The 21,227-nt window shown below is 40.0% G+C and overlaps 1 long non-coding RNA gene across 4 annotated transcripts in view; it reads right to left on the bottom strand.

Annotated features, from left to right (window-relative positions):
- Positions 1 to 5,656: 5,656 nt before the first annotated feature.
- The window catches only part of LOC105378464 (uncharacterized), a 57,847-nt gene continuing 42,276 nt past the window's right edge, over positions 5,657 to 21,227 (bottom strand). For 2 of the 4 annotated variants that reach the window (XR_946283.1, XR_946284.1), the window contains 3 exons: positions 14,296 to 14,435; positions 13,623 to 13,792; positions 5,706 to 5,851 (listed from right to left, as the gene is read on the bottom strand). This is a non-coding gene — a long non-coding RNA (uncharacterized LOC105378464). Of the gene's footprint in view, positions 5,852 to 13,622; positions 13,793 to 14,295; positions 14,436 to 21,227 lie in introns of all 4 variants that reach the window. The other 2 variants (XR_007062285.1, XR_946282.2) reach the window with 2 other exon arrangements.

The following is a 21,227-nucleotide window of genomic DNA, read 5'->3' as shown; positions in this document are numbered from 1 at the left end:
TTCACTCTCAACAGTATCCCATTTTGAGCACTAAATCATATGATCACCCCATCTATTATATGTTCTCCTGGTACTATACACCTCTTCTTAAAAGCATTCTTATAGTTGAATTTCTAAATATGTTTGCCTAGAGGTTTAATTAATGCCTCTCTCCTCCAGTCTATTATAAACTTCATCAGCAAAGAGGTCATACCTATTTTAATTAAACTTCTTGTTCTGAAATAATTGTTGATTCACATGCAGTTATAAGAAATACAAAAAGGCCAGGCATGGTGGCTCACACCTGTAATCTCAGACCTTCAGGAGTCTGAGACAGGAGGATCGCTTGAGTCCAGGAGTTGGAGATCAGCCTGGACAACCTAGCAAGTCCCCATCTCTACAAAAAATAAAATTAAAAAATTAGCCAGATGTGTTGATGCATGCCTGTAGTCCTAGCTACTCGGAGACTAGGTGGGAGTATGGCTTGAGCTCAGGAGTTCAAGGTTGCAATGAGCTATGATGGTGCCACTGCACTCCAGCCTCAGCAACAGAGCAAAACCCTGTCTCTTAAAGGGAAAGAAAGGAAAGAAAGAAGAAAGAGAGAGAGAGAGAAAGGAAAGGAAAGGAAAAGAAAAGAAAAAAAGAAAAGAAAAGAAAAAAAGAAAAAGAAAAGAAACAAAGAGATCAGATGTACCATTTATCATTTCCTCCAGCGGTAACAGCTTGCAGAAATACAGCGCAGTATCACGACCAGAATATTGACAAAGCTACAGAGCCCTCCCATCATTTCAAGAATCCCTCATATGACCCTTTTATAGCCATGCCCACTTCCCACCTGTCCCCATCTCCTTAATCTCTGGCAACCACTAATCTCTTCTCCATTTCTATAATTTTGCCATTTCAAGAATGTTAAATAAAAAGAATCATACAGTTTATAACCTTTTGGGGTTGGCTTTTCTCACTCAGCATAATTCTCTGGAGCTTCATCTAGGTTGCGTGTATCATTAATCTGTTCTATGCTATTGCTGAGCTGGATTTTATGGTATGGATGTTTACCTGTTGAGGGACATCTGAGATGTTTCCAGTTTTTAACTGTTATGAACAAAGTTGCAATAACATTTACAGACAGGTGTTTCCATGAATATGTTTTTATTTCTCTAGCATAAATGTCCAAGAGTGTAATTGCTAGGTGATATGGTAGTTCCCTGTTTAGTTTTTTTAACAAACTGCCAAACTATTTTTTTCAGAGTGGCTGTACCATTTTGCATTCCCATCAGCAAAGTATGAGTGGTCAAGTTTCTCTGAATCTTCTTCAGAATTTAGTGTTATTACTTTTCTTCAATTTTAGCCATTCTGGTGGGTGTGTAGTGAAATTTCATTGTGGCTTTAATTTGCATTGTCCCATTGGCTAATGAAGTTGAACGTCTTTTCATGTCTTATTTGCCATCCATGTATCCTCTTAGAGTAAAATGCCTCTTCATATATTTGACCCATGTTCTGATTGGGTTGTTTTTTCTGTTGAGTTTGAGAGTGCTTTATATATTCTAAAAAGTAGTCCTTGTTGGGTTTTTGGTTTGAAAATATTTTCTCCAGGTAATAACTTGTTTCTTCTTCCTCCTAATGGGGTTTCTCACAGAGCAGAATTTTTTAATTGTGATGAAGTCCAATTTATAAATCTTACCTTTTATAGATCAATGTTTGGGTGTCATTAAGAACATTTTGCGGCCTGGCATGGTGGCTCACACCTGTAATCCCAGCACTTTGGGAGGCTGAGGCAGGCAGATCATGAGGTCAAGAGATCGAGACCATCCTGGCTAACACGGTGAAACCTCGTCTTTACTAAAAATAAAAAAATAAAAAAATTAGCTGGGCATGGTGGCAGGCGCCTGTAATCCTAGCTACTAGGGAGGCTGAGGCAGGAGAATGGCATGAACCCAGGAGGTGGAGCTTGCACTGAGCCAAGATCATGCCACTGCACTCCAGCCTAGGCAACAGAGGAGACTCCGTCTCAAACAAAACAAAACAAAACAAAACAAAAACATTTTGCCTAGCTCTAAATCTTGACAATTTTCACCTATAATTTTTTTCTATAAGTTTTAGAGTTTACATTTTATATTTAAGCCCATGAACCATTTTGACTGAATTTTTATATTAGGTGTAAGTCAGGTCAAGGTTTATTTTCTTGGCCTATAGATTTCCAATTACTCCAGTACCATTTGTTGAACAAGCTATCTTTTCTCCATTGAATTACATTTGTACCTTCATCAATAATCAGTTGGACATATTTGTGATTTTGTGTGAGTTTATGCCTGAGTTCCCTTTTCTGTTGCCTTGATCTATAGTTCTGCCCCTCTACCAATACAACACAGATTTCATTATAGTAGCTATATATTAAATCTTGAAATTGGGTAGACTAGTTCCTTCCACTTTGTTTCTCTTTTCAAAACTCTTTTGGCCATTTTAATTCTTTTGAAATAAATGTTTTGCCTTCTGATATAAATTTTAGAGTAAACTTGTCGATACCTATAAAGAAAATCTTGTTGTTGTTTTGATAAGAGTTGTGTTGAACCTGTACATCAATTTGGAGAGAACTGACTTATTTACTATGATGAATCTACCATTCCATGAACAAAGTATGTCTCTTAAATATCTATATCTCTGTTGTGTTTTTTATCAGTGTGGTGTGATTTTTAACATGCAAATCCTATACATGTTTTGTTAGATTTACACCTAAGCATTTCATTTTTTGAGTGATTGTAAATGGTATTATAGTTTTAAATTTTTGTGCCCATGAGTTCATCACTAGCATACAGAAATACAATTGAGTTTTACATATTTGTCTTTTTTATCTTGTATCCTGTGACCTTGCTGAACTCACTTATTCCAGGATTATTTCTGTATAACATTTTGGGATTTTGTGTGTAACGGTCATGTCCTTTGCAAATAGGGACAGTTTTATCTCTTCCCTTTCAAACTGTATCCGTATTATTTACCTTACTTTCTAAATTGCACTGGCAAGAAATTCCAAAATATGTTGAATAAAAGTAGTGAGTGGATATCTTTGCATTGTTCCTGATCTTAGGAGGAAAGCACTCAGTTTTTCACCATTAGGTATCATGTAAATTGTTGCTTTTTTGTAGGTACTCTTTACTAAGTAATAAAGGTCTTCTCTATTCCTATTTTTCTGATTTTTTTTTTACCATAAATTGGTGTTAAATTTAGTCAAATTATTTTTCTGCACCAATTGACATATCAGTTGATTATTATTCTTTAACTTATTGATATGGATTGGCTTTCTAATATTACACCAGCCTTGCATTCCTGCAATGAACCCCACTTAGTCATGGTATATAAAATCCTTTTCATATATTGCTGAATTCTATTTGCTAATATTTTGTTAAAGATTTTTGTGTCTATATTCATGAATAATATTTGCCTGTGGTTTCCTTCCTGCCTGCCTGCCATCTTTCCTTGCTTTCCTTCTTTCTTTCTTTCCTTTCCTATCTATCCAGTTTTACTATTATGATAATTGAAGCATCATAAAATGAATTGGGCTATATTATATTCCCTCCTCTTATTCTGTCTGCAAGAGATTGTGTAGAATTTTTGTTTGTTTGTTTGTTTGTTTTGAGATAGAGTCTCACTCTGTTGCCAGGCTGGAGTGCAGTGGCGCAATCCCGGCTCACTGCAACCTCCGACTCCTGGGTTCAAGTGATTCTCCTGCCTCAGCCTCCCAAGTAGCTGGGATTGCAGGTGCGTGCCACCACGCCCAGCTAATTTTTGTATTTTTTTTTAGTAGAGACGGGGTTTCACCATGTTGGCCAGGATGGTCTCGATCTCCTGACCTTGTGATCTGCCCACCTCAGCCTCCCAAAAGAATTGGTCTTAATTCATTAAGTATTTTATAAAATTCTCCAGTGAAACCATTTGGGCCTGGAAATTTGTTTTGTGGGTTTTTTCAGTTATCAATTTAATTTTTTAATAATTATACTACTATTCAAATTATCCATTTCATATTGGGTAAGTTGAAGTCACTGGTGTTTTTTTTTTAAAGAAAATTGGTCTATTTTGTCTGTGTTGTCAAATCTGTGGTGTAAAATGCCCTAAATATCCTTTTGATGTCTGCAGGATATGCAGTGATATCTTCCATTCCAAATATTGCTATCTTCTTTTTACTTTGTCAGTCATGCTAGAAGTTTGTCAACTTTGTTTCTCATTTCAAAGAACCAGCTCTTCGTTTCAATGATTTTCTCATTTGTTTTTCTGTTTTCAGTTTCATTGATTTCAGCTGTTTTCTTTATTATTTCTTTCCTCCTGCTTGCTTTAGGTTTATTTTGCTCTTCTTTTTCTAGATTCTGAAGGTAAGAGCTTAAATTATTGACTTGAGACCTTTCCTCTTTTGTAACATATGCATTTTGTGCTATAAATTGCCCTCCCAGCATTACTTTAGCTGTATCCCACAAATTTTGATATGTTGTTTTCACTTTCATTCAGCTGAAACTTTTTTTTAATTTCCCATGAGACTCCCTCTTTGAACCACGAATTATTTTGGAGTATGTCTTTTTGTTGCCAAGTGTTTAGAGATTTTCCTATTGTCTTTCTGTTATTGATTTCTAGTGTGATTCCATTGCTATAGGAGAATACATTTTGTATGCTTTCAATTTTTTGAATGTGTTGAGGTTTGTTGTGTAGCTGAGGATATGGTCTATCTTGCATATGTTCTGTGAGCACTTGGAAACAAAATATATTCTACTATTGTTGGTTTGGATATTCTGTAAGTATTGACTAGATCCTGTTGGTTGAAGGTAGTGTTGAGTTCTTCTATATTCTTGCTAATTTTCTGTCTAGTTGTTCTATTATTTGTCAAGAGAGGGGTTGATGTGTCTAACTATACTTGTAGACTTTTTAAAATTTCTCCCTTCAATTATATCAGTTTTTGCTTCACATGCTTTGCAGCTTTTTTGTTCGATGCATACACATTTAAAATTGCTATTCTTAATAGATTGACCCTTTTGTCATTATATAATATCTCTATCTCTGGTAATTGTCTTTGTTCTGAAGTATACTTTATCTACCATTAATAAAGTTACTCTTGTTTTCTTTGGTTAATATTTGCATAATATATCCTTTATCATACATTTATAATTCTATTTGAAGTTAGTTTCCTTCAGATAGAATATAATTTAGTCATGTTTGTTAAACAACCCTGCCAATCTCTTTTATTTTGTATATCTAGACCATTTATAGTTAATGTAATTAATTATGTGTTAGAGCTTAATTCTGCCATTTTCTTTTTTGTTTTCTGTTTATCCTCTTTGCTTTCCATTTTTCTGTTTGGTTTTTCTTACCTCCCTGTGGCTTTCTTGAACATTTTTTAAATTTCATTTTTATTTTTCCATAGCATTTGAATGTATCTCTTTGCATAGCTTTTTTTTTTTTTTAGTGGTTGCTCTAGGTATCGCATTAAATGCATGTAATTTATCACAGCCTGCCAGTTTTTCATTTACCAGTTTGAGTAAAGTACAGAAACCTTACTTTCCTTTATGTTCTTTTACCCTCCCCGACTTATGATATAGTTATCTTGAGTATTTCCTGTGCATACGTTTAGAACCACATCAGATAGTGTTACAATTTTTGTTTCAACCATCAAAGATAATAGAGAAAACTAAAGAAGTTAAAAAAAATTTTATTTTATTTACCCATATTTTTGTTTACTGGTGGTTCTTCCTTCTTTCTTGATGTTACAAAGTTTCTTCTTTTATCATTTCCTTTATTTTTATAGTATTTCCTGTAGCCATTCATTTAGAGTAAGTCTGCTGAAAAATCCTGTTAGTTTCTCTTCATCTGAAAATGCCTCCATGTCCTCTTCATTCTGTTCATTCTGTTTTTAATTGAATATTGACAAATGATAATTGTATATATTTATGAAGTACAAAGTGATGCTATGATGTATGTATACAATATGGAATGATTGAGTTAAGCAAATTAATATATTCATCACCTCAAATACTTACTATTTATTCCTCCTAACTGAACCATTGTATGTTTTAACCAATATCTTCCCATATTCCCAAACCCCAGACTCTGGTAACTATCATTCTGCTCTCTATTCCTATTATTTTAGATTCCACATATAAGTGAGAATATGCAGTAGTTGTATTTTTGTGCCTGGCTTATCCCCTTCGTTCTTGAAGGATATTTTTATTGATGATGGAATTCTAGCTTGGCATTTCTTTATATTCAGCACTTGAAATACATTTTGCTGGTTTCTTATGTGCAGACAATGAGAAATCAGTTGCATTTGAATCATTTTCTTCTATAGGTAATCATTTCTTCTTATAGGTAATGCATCATTTCCTTCTTCCTGCTTTAAAGATATTTCTGGCCAGGTGCGGTGGCTCATGGCTATAATCCCAGCACTTTGGGAGGCCAAGTTGGGAAGATTACTTGCATCCAGGAGTTCAAGACCAGCAGTGAGATCCTGTCTCTGCAAAAAAAAAAAAAAAAAAAATCAGCTGGGTGTAGTTGTGTGTGCCTGTGGTCCTTGCTACTCAGGAGGCTGGGGCAGGAGGATGGCTTGAGCCCAAGAGTTTGAGGTTACAGTGAGCTATGATCACATCACTGTACTCCAACCTGGGCAACAGAGTGAGACTCTGTCTCTTCAAAACAAAAACAAACAAAAAAAAAGGAGATCTTCTGTGTTAAGTTTTCAAAAGTTTGCTTGTGACATGCCTTGCTATAGATTTTTGGAGAGATTATTCTATTTTGGAGATTTATAGATTTTGGGGGAGATGATTTGTATTATTCACACAGCTTCTTGAATACATAAGTATGTCTTTTTTAAACTAATTTTTCAACTTGAAGTATATTTGACAAAGACTGTATACATTTAAGGTGTATAACATGATGATTTAATATATATGTGTGTATATATATAAATTCACCTTAAACTAATTAACATATTCCTCACTTCAGATAGTTACCCCTGTCTTTCTTTTTTGTAGGTATGTGGTTTGCAAAATTTGGGAAGGTTTCAGCCATTATTTTTCCAAGTACTTTTCCATTCCTGTCCTTTGTCTTCTGTTCTTCTGGGACTCCTAGAACATTTATACTAGATCATTTGTTACAATCCCACAAGCACTGAGACTGTTCTCTTTATTGTTTTCAGTGTACTTTCTCTCTGTTGTTCAAATTGGGTAATTTCTACTTTTCAACCTGCAAGTTCAATTAATCTTTCCTCTGTCCCTCTGTTTTGCTGTTGAATATATCCTTTGAGATTTTTATTTTCAGTGATTATGTTTTTCATGTCTAAAACTTCCATTTGGCTCTTCTTTATATCTTCAATTTTCTTGCTTGAACTTTCTATATTTTCATTTGTTTCAAGCACATTTGTAATTACTCTTTGAAGTATTTTTACAATAACTGCTTAAAACTCTTCATCAGGTATTTCTAACATCTCTGTCTTCTCGGTGTTGGCATCTATTAATTGTCTTTTTGCATTTGATTAGGTATCTTCCTGGCTCTTAGTGTGTCAAATGGGTTCTGGTTAAAACCTGGATATATTTAGTATATAAGATGCTGGATCTTATTTGAGCCTTCTGTTTCAGCTGACTTCTGTTCAGCTCTGGCAGGGGAAGGAGAGCGTGTCACCTTGTTACCACCAGGTGGGGGTATATGTCCACATTGCCTCCTGGGCGTCCATTGGCACCTAGGTAGGTGGAGCTGGACAGAGGTGAGAGTCCTCTGTCCCCACCAAACCTCCATTCATACCTTTCTGGCTGGGAGGGGTAGAAAGGTGCTCATTACTGCTTCCCAACTGGCCTCCACTGACACAAATGGGTAGAAAGTGGGGGCTGGGGGGGCACTGACGCAAACGGGTAGAAAGTGGTGGGGGGCGTTGGTTTCATTACCACTGGGCAGGTGTGAAAGTCCTGACTCTCCACCAGGCCTCCTCTGACACCACCCCAGCAGGGATGCACAGGGTGGCTTCATTATTGCTGGGTGGGAGTACAGGAGCTTTCTACTGACACTGCAGGCATGGATGCCTCATCACCACCTGGAGCAGATGAAAGTCTCAGCTTTCTACCTGGTCCTCTCTGACACCATTCCTGCAGGGGAGTGCAGCACCTCCTTACAGCCTCAAGAGGGTGGAGGTCTAGCCTCCCATGTAGCCATTGCAAGTATGGGGGTTGGGGGTAGCCACAGTTTTTTCTGTGGTGTTTGGCTAGAGTAGAGCCATTAGTGTCTGAAAGTCCCCTGTCTTGTTAGGCTGCCTCTTTCCTGGTCCTTTGGCTACAGACAGCAGGAATTGTATTGTCTGCACCCATTGGCATTTCTTGGTCACTGGTTTCTTCATCTCTAAGACACCTCTAATGACACCACTGTGTCATTTCCTTGGGTCTTAAGGTCCCTAGAAAATCTGCCTTCTTTCCATTTTTCAGAGTCCTTTTATGTTTGTTTTATAGACAATGTCCAGGGGGTTTATTGTACACAGCAGAAGGAGTAAAGAAAAGTATATCTATTCCATCTTCCCAGAACTGATTATATCTATTTTTGTTTACCATTATATCTTCAACAGCAAACCAAGTTTCTGGTACAGAGTAGAAGACCCTGTGTAAATAGTTGTTAGATTCATTAGAATCGATGAACACAACTAAATCCAATTTCTCCCAGGATTTAAGTAAGCCTCTTCCACATGTAAGCCTTTGGTGGATCTAGGCTCTCTCCTAGTCTATAAAGGGGCTCCTTTAAGAATTAAGTGACTTTCATTTTCTGTAGCAGGTGCATCCCTGAAGATTTGTGTATCTGTCAGGTTGAGGTAATCATAGAACCAACATTATAGGTTGTGGTAAGGATTAAATAAGGAATCCACATAAGCACTTAGAAATACCTCTGTCAAGTTGTAAGCTCTCAATAAATACCATTGTTGTACAAAAAGCTGAATTTTTGTCAGTTGGATTCCATTTCTTACTGATTTGCCTTATCATTCTAGAGGCGATGTCACTTCATTTCTGACTCATTTTCAACTTAGCATGGTCCCCAATGCTTAGTTTCTCAGCCTTCCTCACGGTCTTTGTGACAAGCCATCGGTAATCTACAAATGGACTGGCAGTTGGTGCAGCTAAGGGTCTTTAGAATTCATTGAATTCTGCAGTTCCTTCTTTTGTTCAGCACTTACATCACTCCCTAATTGTTCCATTTTATAAACTCACATATTTGTTTCTTGAATTCTGCATGTTTGGAATTGAGCATAATTAGCTCTTACATCTACATGCTACATTTTATACAAGCTTTCCATTAGCTCTTACATCTACATGCTACATTTTATACAAGCTTTCCATTGGATCATTGTAGGTGGCACAGGTATAATAATATCCCTTTTCTCTGTTGATAACTATCATCATAATAATAACAAAAGTGTCTGTTTGTGGAGCATTTACTATATACCGGCCCTTTTTTCAAAGCTTTACCAGCATTTTCTCAATTAATCGTTATGAAAGAGCTGACATAGAGGCCCTCTCACTATTCCCATTTTTCTAATGAGAAAACTAAGGTTTAGAGAATTCCATAACTTGATTACGGTTATAAGGCTACACTGTGCTGGAGCCAGCATTCCAACCCAGGCCTGTTGGAGGCCCAGCCCAGGGCTCTTGCCTGGGGAGTGGGGCCACCTTCTTCAGCAACAACCACCACCACACAAATCAATAAGATTTCCCCAGAGACACCCTCTTTCTAGAGGTAAAGCAGTTTAAATCCTGAGGAAATCTGGCTCATGGAAATAAAAAATTCAAAAGGGCTAACAGGAGGAGATCTGAGTTCTGCTTAATTGACCTGGTGTAATTATTTCCATTGAATTGCTCTCCATCTGGGGATAGATATTTACTAAGCAGACTGGCCCAGTAGCTCCCTTCCGCACCTGCTTTAGTCTGGAGAAAGTTAATTGCATGGAAAGTTTTCATCTAAATCACTGAGTTTCTTATCCCCAACAATGCCAGGAAAACACACACACACACACACACACACACACACACACACACACACACACAAAGTGTCTTATGCCAATAAGAGCTTTGCCAGAAGGACTTTCCCTTAGCTCATGGCTGCTCCTGAATGAAAAGACTCAACCCATTTGGGTCTCAGTACCACAGTTATTCCAAATAGCCAGAACAGGCCTCTCTGCACTATAGAAAGCACAGTGCAATAAGCAGTGTGATCTCTGGACCACCCAGACCAAAGAAAGATGCCCCCATCTCCACCACCAAAAGAAACAAACCAGGAATAAGAGTCAGGAAAAACATGCTTGGCCAAAGTTGCCTTTTCCTGTTTGTGAACACAAGGAGAAGATAAATTATAGCTTCTGTTAGTAACGTAATTACTTTAATTAAAATTTAGGGGGTTGGAAATGTTAGTTCTGAATGTCAGATTTCCAGTGATGTGTGTGAAGCCTGGGAGAATAGAAATACAGCCCTATAAATAACTAGCATATTATAACTGGAGCAGTGTGTGCTCTTGTATTCACTTAGAGTTAGAACAGCAATTAAATGATAACCAGGATTCCATTCTCTGCTCTCCCTTGTCTCTGCCCTCATTTCACGCCCAGGTAACAATTGTATGCACAAGACTATGGTGGCTTTCCCCATTCCCCATAAGCAATAGTCATCCTCCAAAGCTCTTCTCAAATAATTCTTTGAATCCTTTCCTGAAGACTCTGTCCCACAGAAATCCTCCCATCCTAATCAGCCACTGTACAGTACTTGTTTTCTGCACCAAGTGTTTTCTCTCTTAATTGGACTGATTTCAGCTTTGTGCACCAGTCTGTCATATACAGCCTTCTAATTGTGTCGTGTCTCCCTAACAAGATTATAAGCTCTCAGGAGGCACTGTCCTATGAAAGCACAGGCATTTAGAGCTGGAGGGATCTCAGAGACTATACTGCAGGTGAGAAAACAGGTTACACAGCTAGTCAGGGGGCTAAGCTGGGACTAGTGCTCAAGAATTCTAACTCTTAGTTCATTGTGGGTTCCAACCCTGCCCCAGGTCTGTGATTGTTGTTGTTGTTGTTGTTGTTGTTATTGTTCATTTTGTTTGTTTTTTTATTTTTGTAGAGACAGGGTGTTGTTTTGTTGCCCAGTCTGGAGGTGCAATCCTGGCTCACTGCAGCCTCAAATTCCTGGGCTCAAGCAACCCTCTTGCCACAGCCTCCCAAGTAGTTAGGACTACAGGTGAAGGCCACCATGCCTGGATTTTTTTTTTTTTTTTGATAGAGACAGGGTCTCATTATGTTTCCCAGGCTGGTATTGAACTCCTAGTCTGGAGTGATCCTCCTGCACTGGTCTCCCAAAACACTAGGATTACAGGTGTGAGCTTCTGCATCTGCTCTGGGAGATTTTGAATGAGTTCTATCAAGTATCATTTTAGTCAGGCATGAGTGAGAGAGTGTTAGGAGGAGTAAGTTGTGGGGGACTTACCCTCAGACCACCGCCCTCCTTTAAGTAGCTTGGGTCCAATCTCCATTCCAGGGAGCTGGTACCATTAACAGGGTGGGAGGCAAGTATGTCCATAGAAGGAAGGTTAGACTGAATATTGAGGAGGGACTCCTCAATTGAGGCTGACAGGTGACTGGCCAGCTGCTGTTATCAGGGCAGGAAGCGGGTCTACTTTCTGAAGCACAATGAGAATGGCCAGGCTGGCTCGACTTCCCTGTAGCCACCTGATCTGGCAAAGGACCTGGCCCGTACTGAAGAAGTTTCTCCAGCACCTCCATCCTCTCTTTTCTCATCCTTGGTGTCTTAGCTCAGGCTCCTCAGAAGCAGGCTCTAAGTGGCTTATCAAAGATGGTGCAACGAGAGAAACCCATAAGGGAGGCAGGGAATCAGGGGAAGGAGGGGGAGGAAGCCAATCAAAGGTGCAGTTTCATGAAAAGTCCCACAGAGGGGAACTTCACCCAATCCCACAGGAATGCTCTGGAGGGTGTCACCCACACAGTTGTCCCAACCAGAGGACAGGCAGCTGAACCCTCACACTCCCACACCCTCCCGCACCGGCTAAGGACCAGCCAGGGAGGCCTGAGTGCCCAGGCTCCTTATCTTCTCGTGCGGTTGGGCAGAGTGGACTCAAACATATGCAAAAAGGAGCCACAGGTGCTGCCTGTTAGAAGCTCAGGAACACTGATGGGGTTGGGGCATACAATGGTGACAAGGGATCCAGGGACACCTGGGCAAAGCATCAAGAGCCTGTCCGAGTGTCAGTCTCACTAGGACACTTTTATGGAGTCAAAAAGCAGTTTAGACACTAAATAAACAAGTAGCTTTGGCCTTTGCTTTCTGGTTTTATAAATTGGTGGCTCATGTCTCATTATCTGGACCAGAGGAGGCAGGAAGCAGGCAGGGTATCCATGAGGGAAAGACCCTCAGGGCACAAGTAAAGGAATGTGATGGTTTAAGGAGGAAGGCATGCTAGTTAATACTTTGAAATATTCTCCCACCACACTTACTATGTATGGTAATGTGGGAGTCACTAGGAAGACTGGCTGACAGGCTTCCAGTAACTTCCCAGGGTGGCATTTACCTCGGTGTGTCAGGAGGCAGTGGAGTGTACTGTTTAAGAACGTACATTGATTTTGAAACCCAACCTTACAACTAGAGGACTGCAAGTCCCTGGACAAATGACCTAACCTCTCTGAGCCTTAGTTTCATCATCTGTAAAAACAGGGAATGATAAGAATTATCTCATTGATTTGTTGTGAGGAATTAATAAGGTGTGTGTGTGCGTGAGAGAGAGAGAGAGATTTAGTGAAGGCATCGCATATAAGCAGTGCTTGCAGCAGGTTGTATTTCCAAACTCCACAACATTATCTCCCATCCCATATGTTCTTTAAAACTTTGGCATTTTCTTGCCAAGAGGTGAAGTCTATTTCCCTTCCCTTTGAATCTCAGGATAAACCAGAAAAGTTGATAGATCTTACACCTGGTTCACTTGGAATCTTGCTTTTGGAGTCTTAGGGCCGCCATATTTGGAGGAAGCCCCAACCAGCTCACATGGAGGGAACATATGGAGGCCTCAAGTCTACAAAGGAGAGAGAGATGCCAGTAGCCCTCAGCTGCTCCAGTCATTGTCTGACTGCAACCCAAGCCAGAAGTGCTCAGCCAAAGCCCTTCTAAAACTCCTGATCCACAGAAACAGTGGGAAATAATAAAATGATTGTTTCTGATTTAGGCCACTAAGTGGTGATTTGCTATCCAGCAACAGATAACCAAAGCAATGCTCTATGAATGCTAGTTATTGCCATTATTATATTCACCACAGTAATAGGATATCATTCACAGCCTCACAGGTTGTGAAATATGATTTTGTTTTATTCCACTAAGAATGAATAAGGATCTCAGGGATGGAGTCTCACTAATCAAGGTCATGAGGGACTGATGTACAGCCCAGAATGCCAATTTATTACCATACTAGAACTGCAAGGGGTTTAAACATCCCATCCTGAGACCAGATTATTTCCTTCATGTAAGAAATTTACTTCCAAAACTAAAGTATAATCAGTTGTCTAGCAAGCATGAAATGAGAATAAGGAAAGTTACTTGTCCTACTAAAGTGATTTGATGGTATCAGGTCAAGGAATGTCTCTGGAAGGAATCTACCTGCTGGCAGGACCTGACAGCCCAGACCTCCGGCCAGGACATCTTTAAATGGTCCTTGGATGCACTCTGACAGCATTGGCTCCTCTGATTTTCTTTCCAGCTTCAATACAGACCAATTCCTTTTCTGATTAGTAGAGAATTTCTTTAGTCCAGTAGATATTGACAATGTCCTATGAAAAAATAAAAGTTTCATAGTGTTCTATGAAAAATAAAAGAACGTCATAAATTCAAGAAATATTAGATTCAACAAAGTGAAAAGGGCTCATTATTACAGCACTTCTCAGAGCCTTGAATAGGCTAACTCATCATGCAAACCACCAAAGGGAAGATATGATAGGATAATGAACTCTTCCAAACAAACACACCTCCCTCACCTCCAGATTACAGGGTGATGAATGCTGCTTTAAAAACAACGGCAATCAAGTTGCACTCTGAACCAAGAATTATTTTGACTACTTAAGTGGTCTTTGTATATGACTTTTCTGGCCCATTGAGTTGATTTGATAATTTAACACTGAGAAGATTCACCTCATTTTCCTCTTGTCCAAATTCTCTTGAAGGGGATGGCTCTGTGGCCCTTGAGAAGTATTGGTTCTAGTCAGGGAAGTGGAGCATGCACATACTAATTCAGGGAAGGTGCTAGGATAGAGATCCAAAGTACTGCAATACCTACTGGAAATGCCAGCGATGGCTTTAGCGACAAGCAGCATTCAAGGTGGGCTTTGATGTCAAAATCGGAGTTTGGCAGGAGTTCAACAAGCAGAATGGAGAAAAAAAAGGAACTCAGGCTGGAGAAGCAGGGTAAACAGAGACCTGGAAAGAAGCAGGGAACAGAATATTTGGGAAATTAGGCAGAGCACATGGTGATGGAGAGATGAAGCTGGCAATGCAGGAAGAGTCTAGAATGCCAGAATGCCTTGTCAAAGAGTCCAGGCTCCAGAGGAAGGCATGGGGACCCAGAGATAGACTGTAAGTGAGTGAAGCATGATTAGGCTCAGGATCTGGGAAAATAACTCTGAAGGTAGTGCATGGGCTGGGCTATGCAGATAAAATAAAGGCAGCCTTAGGAGTTACTGCAGCATCCCCCAGGAATGTCAGCAGAAATTTAGAAATATATGGTGGCTCCATCACTTCCTTTGTACTTTCCCATGCAATAAGAGACAGGCTATTAGAGCATCTGCTCTTAACAAACATAAAAACAACAACAACAACAAAAAAAGCAGCTCTGTACTGGAGGCTTTTTGAAAAATCATCATCAGATCATTTCAGACATGCAGCTTCACACAATGACAAAACAAAGAGAAACTGTTCCTTGGTGACAGCACATAAGCAAACACATGCAGCCAGCCCTGCAGATGGGAGGATGGGATTCATCCCAGCTCTCGCTATAGGTAGGCATGAGGAGTGATGGTTAATTTCATATGTCAACTTCACTGGGCCACAGGGAGCCCAAGATATGTGGTGAAGCATTATTCTGGGTGTGTCTGTGAGAGTGTTTCTGGATGAGATTAACATTTAAATCAGTAGACTGAGTAAAGCAGTTTCCTCCCCAAAGTAGGTGGGCCTCATTCAATTCATTGAAGGCCTGAATATAACAAAAGGCTGAGTAAAAAAGAATTCGCTCTCTATGCCTGATGGTCTTTGAGATAGGACATGGGTCTTCTGCTTTTGGCTGTAGACTCTAGCTCCAACTCAGACTCAGACAGTAGTTATTCATTGGCTCTCCCAGGTTTCCAGCATCTCTCTAGACAGAAAGATTGGATGGATGGATAGAGAGATAGATAGATAGATAGATAGATAGATAGATAGATAGATAGATAGATAGACATAGATACCTAGATAGATTGACTGATTCTTTTGGTTCTGTTTCCCAGAAGAACTGTGACTAATACCTGAAGGCACAGCCAAACATCTTTCCAGCTATTATATAACTCTGTCTATATATTAATATTATGTCTCTTAATCAATACTTTTCTCTGAACTCTCTCCCACATTGCTGGAGTGATATTCAGTTCTATAATCCTATAAGCCTGCCTTCTAATGCTGTTCAAAAGCACTAGGGTTCTTGCACACCCTAAATTTTTAGAGAGAAATCCCCGTGTCTTCTGTCTTCATTTATTACTGCTGAGTGATCCTGGTCTAAGCTAGTCTGGTCCTTTGAGGGAGACGATCCAGGCTTGAGCCCAGAGATCTTCTATCACAACAACCAAGAGCACAGTATCCGGTCTCTCAGTCATCCACAAGTCACCTCACAGAAGTCCCAAAGTGGGAAGTTGGACTCTTCCCCTCACAGGGCCCACAAAAATCAGTGGCTTGGAGAATGTGAACTATTTTCTCCCTAGCTGCGTCTAGCCTGAGTCAGAAACTTAAATACCTAAGAGGCCCAGCAGGTGGTGCCAATGAGCGGCACCTGCCCATTGGACAACATGATTAAATGGCAACTGACTCTCAAGTGTGGGTCAGGAAGACAAGAGGGAGTGGTAAAGACTGTGGCTAACCAGAAATGCATGCTTTTTTTTTTTTTTTGAGTCTTGCTCTGTTGTCCAGGCTGAGTGCAGTGGCGCAATCTCAGCTCACTGCAACCTCTGCCTCCTGGGTTCAAGTGGTTCTCCTGCCTCAGCCTCCTAAGTAGCTGGGACTACAGGTGCACGCCACCATGCCTGGCTAATTTTTGTATTTTTAGTAGAGATGGGGTTTCACCATATTGGTCGGGCTGGTCTTGAACTCCTGACCTCGTGATCTGCCAGTCTCAGCCTCCCAAAGTGTTGGAATTACAGGCGTGAGCCACCACGCCTGGCCAAATGCATGCTTTCTAAAGGGGACACCATTGCTGGCACTGGAATGTGGAACCAGTATTGACTGAGCATTCAATTTGCTGGTAAAACCCTGAAATCTGGGTTTATTTGTAGAATGTCTTCATTTTTAAATGTTAGCAACATTTAGACTTAAACTCTGTACTGACTAATACTGTTCAGACCAAACCAGACACATCTCTTTTCTGCTTTCAGCCCTGGGCTGCCTGTGTGAGGCACCTCTAACATTCCCCTTTCAGAGAGCCTGGGCTTTCCAATACAAGAGTCTGCTTTATTTTGGCAACACAAAAGTTCCTGAGGCAAAGGAACTCAAAGAGTTGGCTATGTGTTCTTGAAAGAGGTTTTTGGATGCTCTGTGGTAAGATATAACGAACTCTCAGTAAAGAATCCCAACACAAGTTATTTTACAGAGCAGCCTTGGATCTAGTAAAATGTCTGTGGGTCGCCAAAATGTCTGAAGAATTCCTGGAGAAGGAGGGTTATGAGCAGAGCTGACACTCAATTAAAACATACCAGGTTGGTGATGCCAGCTGTTTAAATGTTGAATTACAGAATTCTTTCACTGTTCAGACTCTTGCTATCCTGCACTCAAAAATCAAAAAGACAATTCTGTTCCCCCTCGTTACCTGAACCCACTATATAACTCACACTATTCACACTCAGGAACCAAGTCAAGACTTGCACTTCTGTTTTGGAAAAAAATGCCCCTTCCCTGAGCACCCTAAGTAGACCTCCATCACCACAGCTGGCTTGGCCTTTCCTTCAGGACCCCTCAGACCTTTCCATGCTCTAAGAAACAAAACAGTCACTCCTGGACCACTGGTAGTGTTGCAGGACTTTTCCTTAGTTCAGCTAAAGATGGGGTTCTTTGTACCACAGCCATGAAAATTCAGGCTCTCAGACAATTTGAATGGTGAGTAAGTCAGGGTTTTACTGGGTGAAAAGGATGAAAGGGGGAAACGGGGACTCTCACTAGGCCAGAGACCCTGCTAGAGCACTTCCCACCAGCCTTTCGAATCCCAGGTTCCACACAGGAAGAGGAGGGGCTATGCTCCTTCCCACTGCAAACAGCACAAACTTCGTGAAGCTCCACCCCAGTGCTCAGGCTGGCTGGAGTTTCTCTGGGGACCCCCTCCCACCTGGCTGTCTCATTACCCACCCTAAAGAAGTACATCTAACTGCTGTTAGATTAAGGATAAGGATGAAGTCCAGTCTTAACTGCTTCCTGCTGATAGGGGGCTCTGTTTTAGGGAAACGGCAGTCAGAGCTTCCCTAGAGGCCTATCTAAGGGTTCCCAGCAGAAGAGGCCATCGTCAGAGGCTCCGATTGCATGACTGTTCAGAGTCTGATGGCCTGAAGGCAAGGACAGACAAACCAGGTTATTAGAACACATGTATCAAAATGAAACAAGGAGCAGGGTAAAGACAGCTCAAAAAATTCTGAGGCCTTTTACCAGTTTGCACAGGGAGAGGGCAGCCAAAAGCCCGGCTGTCAAAAAAAAACTTTACCCTTTTGCTGGAATGTTAGGCTTCTGGATTCCCTTCCTCTGAGCCAAATCCTAAGCCAAGCAGTTTAAGGTTTGGAAAATTAACTCTCTCCAATTTGAAGGATGCATCTGAGGGGAGTGTCCCATAGTATAGGGACACAATTACCTATCTGTGAAGAGAGGACAGAGGAAGAGAGAGGGGAAAAAAGGGTATTTTTTCAAAGGAGCCCCAGAGGTTCAGGATGCATTCTAAAGGGGTACGGACTGAAGATGAATGGCTACCTATCTAGAAAGAGGGGAGCAGGCGTCCCTGGTTTCCTTCTCTTCCTAGCAGATACTCTTGGCAGATACCCAGGGTACATGAGGGAGAGAGGAAAGAGCGTCCTCTTTCACTCTTCCATCCTTGCATCCCTGAGTCCTGGTGACCTTGGCTGGTCCCGTCATGAGTGCTAAAGTGGCTTGCACTCATGAAGCAGGGAGGGCCTTGAGAATAGGAATTATTGGCTCTCACCTGTGCCTCTATCCTGCCTGCTGTCAGTAGCCTTGGAGTTCCCTAGACCTCATTTATGCCATGGATATTAACATGGCCTTTATCCATGAAGCAGGAAGCTTGGGCTTGGCTTAATCGGCAGCAATCAGCCACACTCACCTGCAGTGTGCCTTTTAACCTCTGTTGTCATCTGCCTCTGAATCCCTTAGATCCAGTTATCCTTCCTAGGGTTTTGACCCGAAGCTTGGAATTAAGTTTGGGACAAAAATGTGCCTCTAAGGGGGTTGCATGGACTCCTTGTCATAAGCCAAATGCTAAGGTGAAACTGTGGAAGTGAGTCGTCCTCCAACAAGGGAGAGGAAAGGAGGCCTTGTGATATACCCAGATAACTGGTGGCTATAGTTATGCTTGCTAAGATTTGGGTGCATGGTGCTTGGCTTTGATTAGCTCCCTTGGTCTTACTTTCCCAAAAAGGAAACCTCCGAGTGATGAGTATCCTATTTATTCCCGTCACCTGGCAGGATTTGCATGATAATTGCTCAGAACTAGAATATTGATCCAGATTTTTGCATTACCCATCCCTTTTGTTATTTTTGAGCTGCAGCCAGGGATTACTGGTTGGTTCACAGGACAAGCAGGGTTAGTCTAAAATGTAGGTGAAAATTTACAAACAACTAATTAGTTTAGGATTTAATGACAAATGTATGGTAAGTTTTGGAACATAATTTCTCTCTCTACAGTCTTCATGTTTGTTAAAAACACAAATCATCATAGAACTGAGTGGTTTGAAAAATAGATATTAGTCTTATACTTGGCCTGATTATTTGAATAAAGTGCAGCAAGAACAATTATTTCTACATAGGCCTTTTGGATTGGCTTTAATGGAAATTTGTTCCACAAGGAATCTCAGATAAGACCTTTTAAAGCTGAGCCCAACTATGGGTTTGCATCCTCAAACACCTATGAGTGGGTGTTTCTCTTCTCTTAAGGTCCCAAGGTAAAATTGGAGCTCCTAGACCTGTTAGAAGTGACATTCTTTACAGACCACAGGTCAGGAACCCTGTACAGGGACTCTGTAGGCAAGGGTATGAGGCCAGTTTCCCCACAGGGCTTTTATCAGCTCCGAAAGTCGAGCTTGACTCCTTAAAGGGAAGCATACCCTTCCAGTCAAAGCCTTGGCAAAATAACCACTTTCTCCAACTGTGTTCTGTTGCAAAAGAAAAATGGATTCTTATTGCACTGAGGCAAACAACTACATTGCCATAAGAATACTCACGAATAGTTTCTAAATTCTAGAGAAACCAGGAAGAGAGAAACAAAGATGCTCCAAATTTTAATTACAGGAGTGTATATACATTACTTATTAAAGGCCGTAAATAATTCAAAATAGGTTTCTTTGACTCAGAAAAACAAAACAAGGATCAGCAATATTCTAAGCAAAAGTCAAAAAGATTTGCTTCAGCTTCCTGAGTTCAGTCCATTTAGTTAAATCTTGTTTTGCTTGATATTTGTGAACATTTCAGCTCTTTATGAGTCCTGTACATTTTCCTTTATTCCAATGTTACAATCTCTAAAGTTATCAGAAGCCTGTACTTGAGAGCACCTGTTAAAGTTCTATAGCTCATTATAAACCATCTTCGAAAAGGATTAAAACAAGACAACAATTGTATATGAATAGCAAAATGTCCAGGGTAGTTACAGTTAGAAACACGATTGACAAGAAGTTTGGTTATCTCCATGGTTTACAATAACTTAACATAACAACCTTAATTATGATTGACAGCACATACTTTGGACATTAGAATTTTTTTAATCCCATAAAATTTTGGAACATATATTAGCCTTACTCACAAAAATACAGCCTAAAGAAGATTGAGCATCATTTTGGCAATCCCATGTACCTAAACATGTCAAATAATCCTGTTTACCTCTTTTTTCTGAATGTTTCAGGGGCCCTCTGAAACATCCAAAAAGCCAGGCATCAGGAAAGACAATTTCGAAACTGAAGTTTGATTTGGGGAAGCCTGTTAAATATCTTTGAAGTTTAAAACACTTGATATTATGAAATAGAATTACAGATTACCATAAGTTATTTATTTTGCCAAAATGATGACTCAGAAATTTTAAAGAAGAAAAAATCTTTTATAACCCTTTACAAATTTTGCCAAACAGCAGGTTAGCACCTTAAGAAAACCTTGTTATGCCTTTATTTTAATGCTCAATTAACAGAAAAACCATATAATACCCTTTTTTGAATTTAGTCAATATCTTCACACAGAGAACCTCTTCTGTAAGATTAATTTCCACAATTCTTCCAGCACTTCTTTGAATCTTCAGCTTTTTCGTAATTTAACTCAAAACAAACCTTTAACCCTAGGCAATAGTTTACATTTCCATGCCTTCTTATGACTGTTTACTAAAAAACACATTTTACTGTTCTTACACGCCTTGCATGTAAATCTATTTCTAGTAGTTTTAATTAACTCCTAGCAATTTTTAACTTTAAGGTAAAACTTGGTAAGTTGCTTTAATTGTGTGCCAACTGCAGCCAAGGTTTGCCTTCTTAGTTAAGGGCATGGTTAATTCCATATGTCCCCAGGCCTTACCAACTGTGAAGCCCAAAGTCAAATAGTTCTCAAAACCCAAAAAGCAGTTTGTAACCTCAAAACCTTGCATCTGACCTGCGTTTTACCAATAGTCTTTAGTGCTGCTTTTATTTCTCAAAATTTAAAATCACATGAACAGAAAGGTACCACATATTTTATATTCCCTTTAAAAAATATTAGATCCAAGCACTTGTTTTCCTTTAGGCCACA

Source organism: Homo sapiens, chromosome 10 (genome assembly GCF_000001405.40).
Source record: "Homo sapiens chromosome 10, GRCh38.p14 Primary Assembly".
NCBI classification, from domain to species: Eukaryota; Metazoa; Chordata; class Mammalia; order Primates; family Hominidae; genus Homo; species Homo sapiens.
The sequence above is the reverse complement of the archived record's forward strand: the minus strand, read 5'-3'. Positions and strand labels throughout refer to the sequence as shown.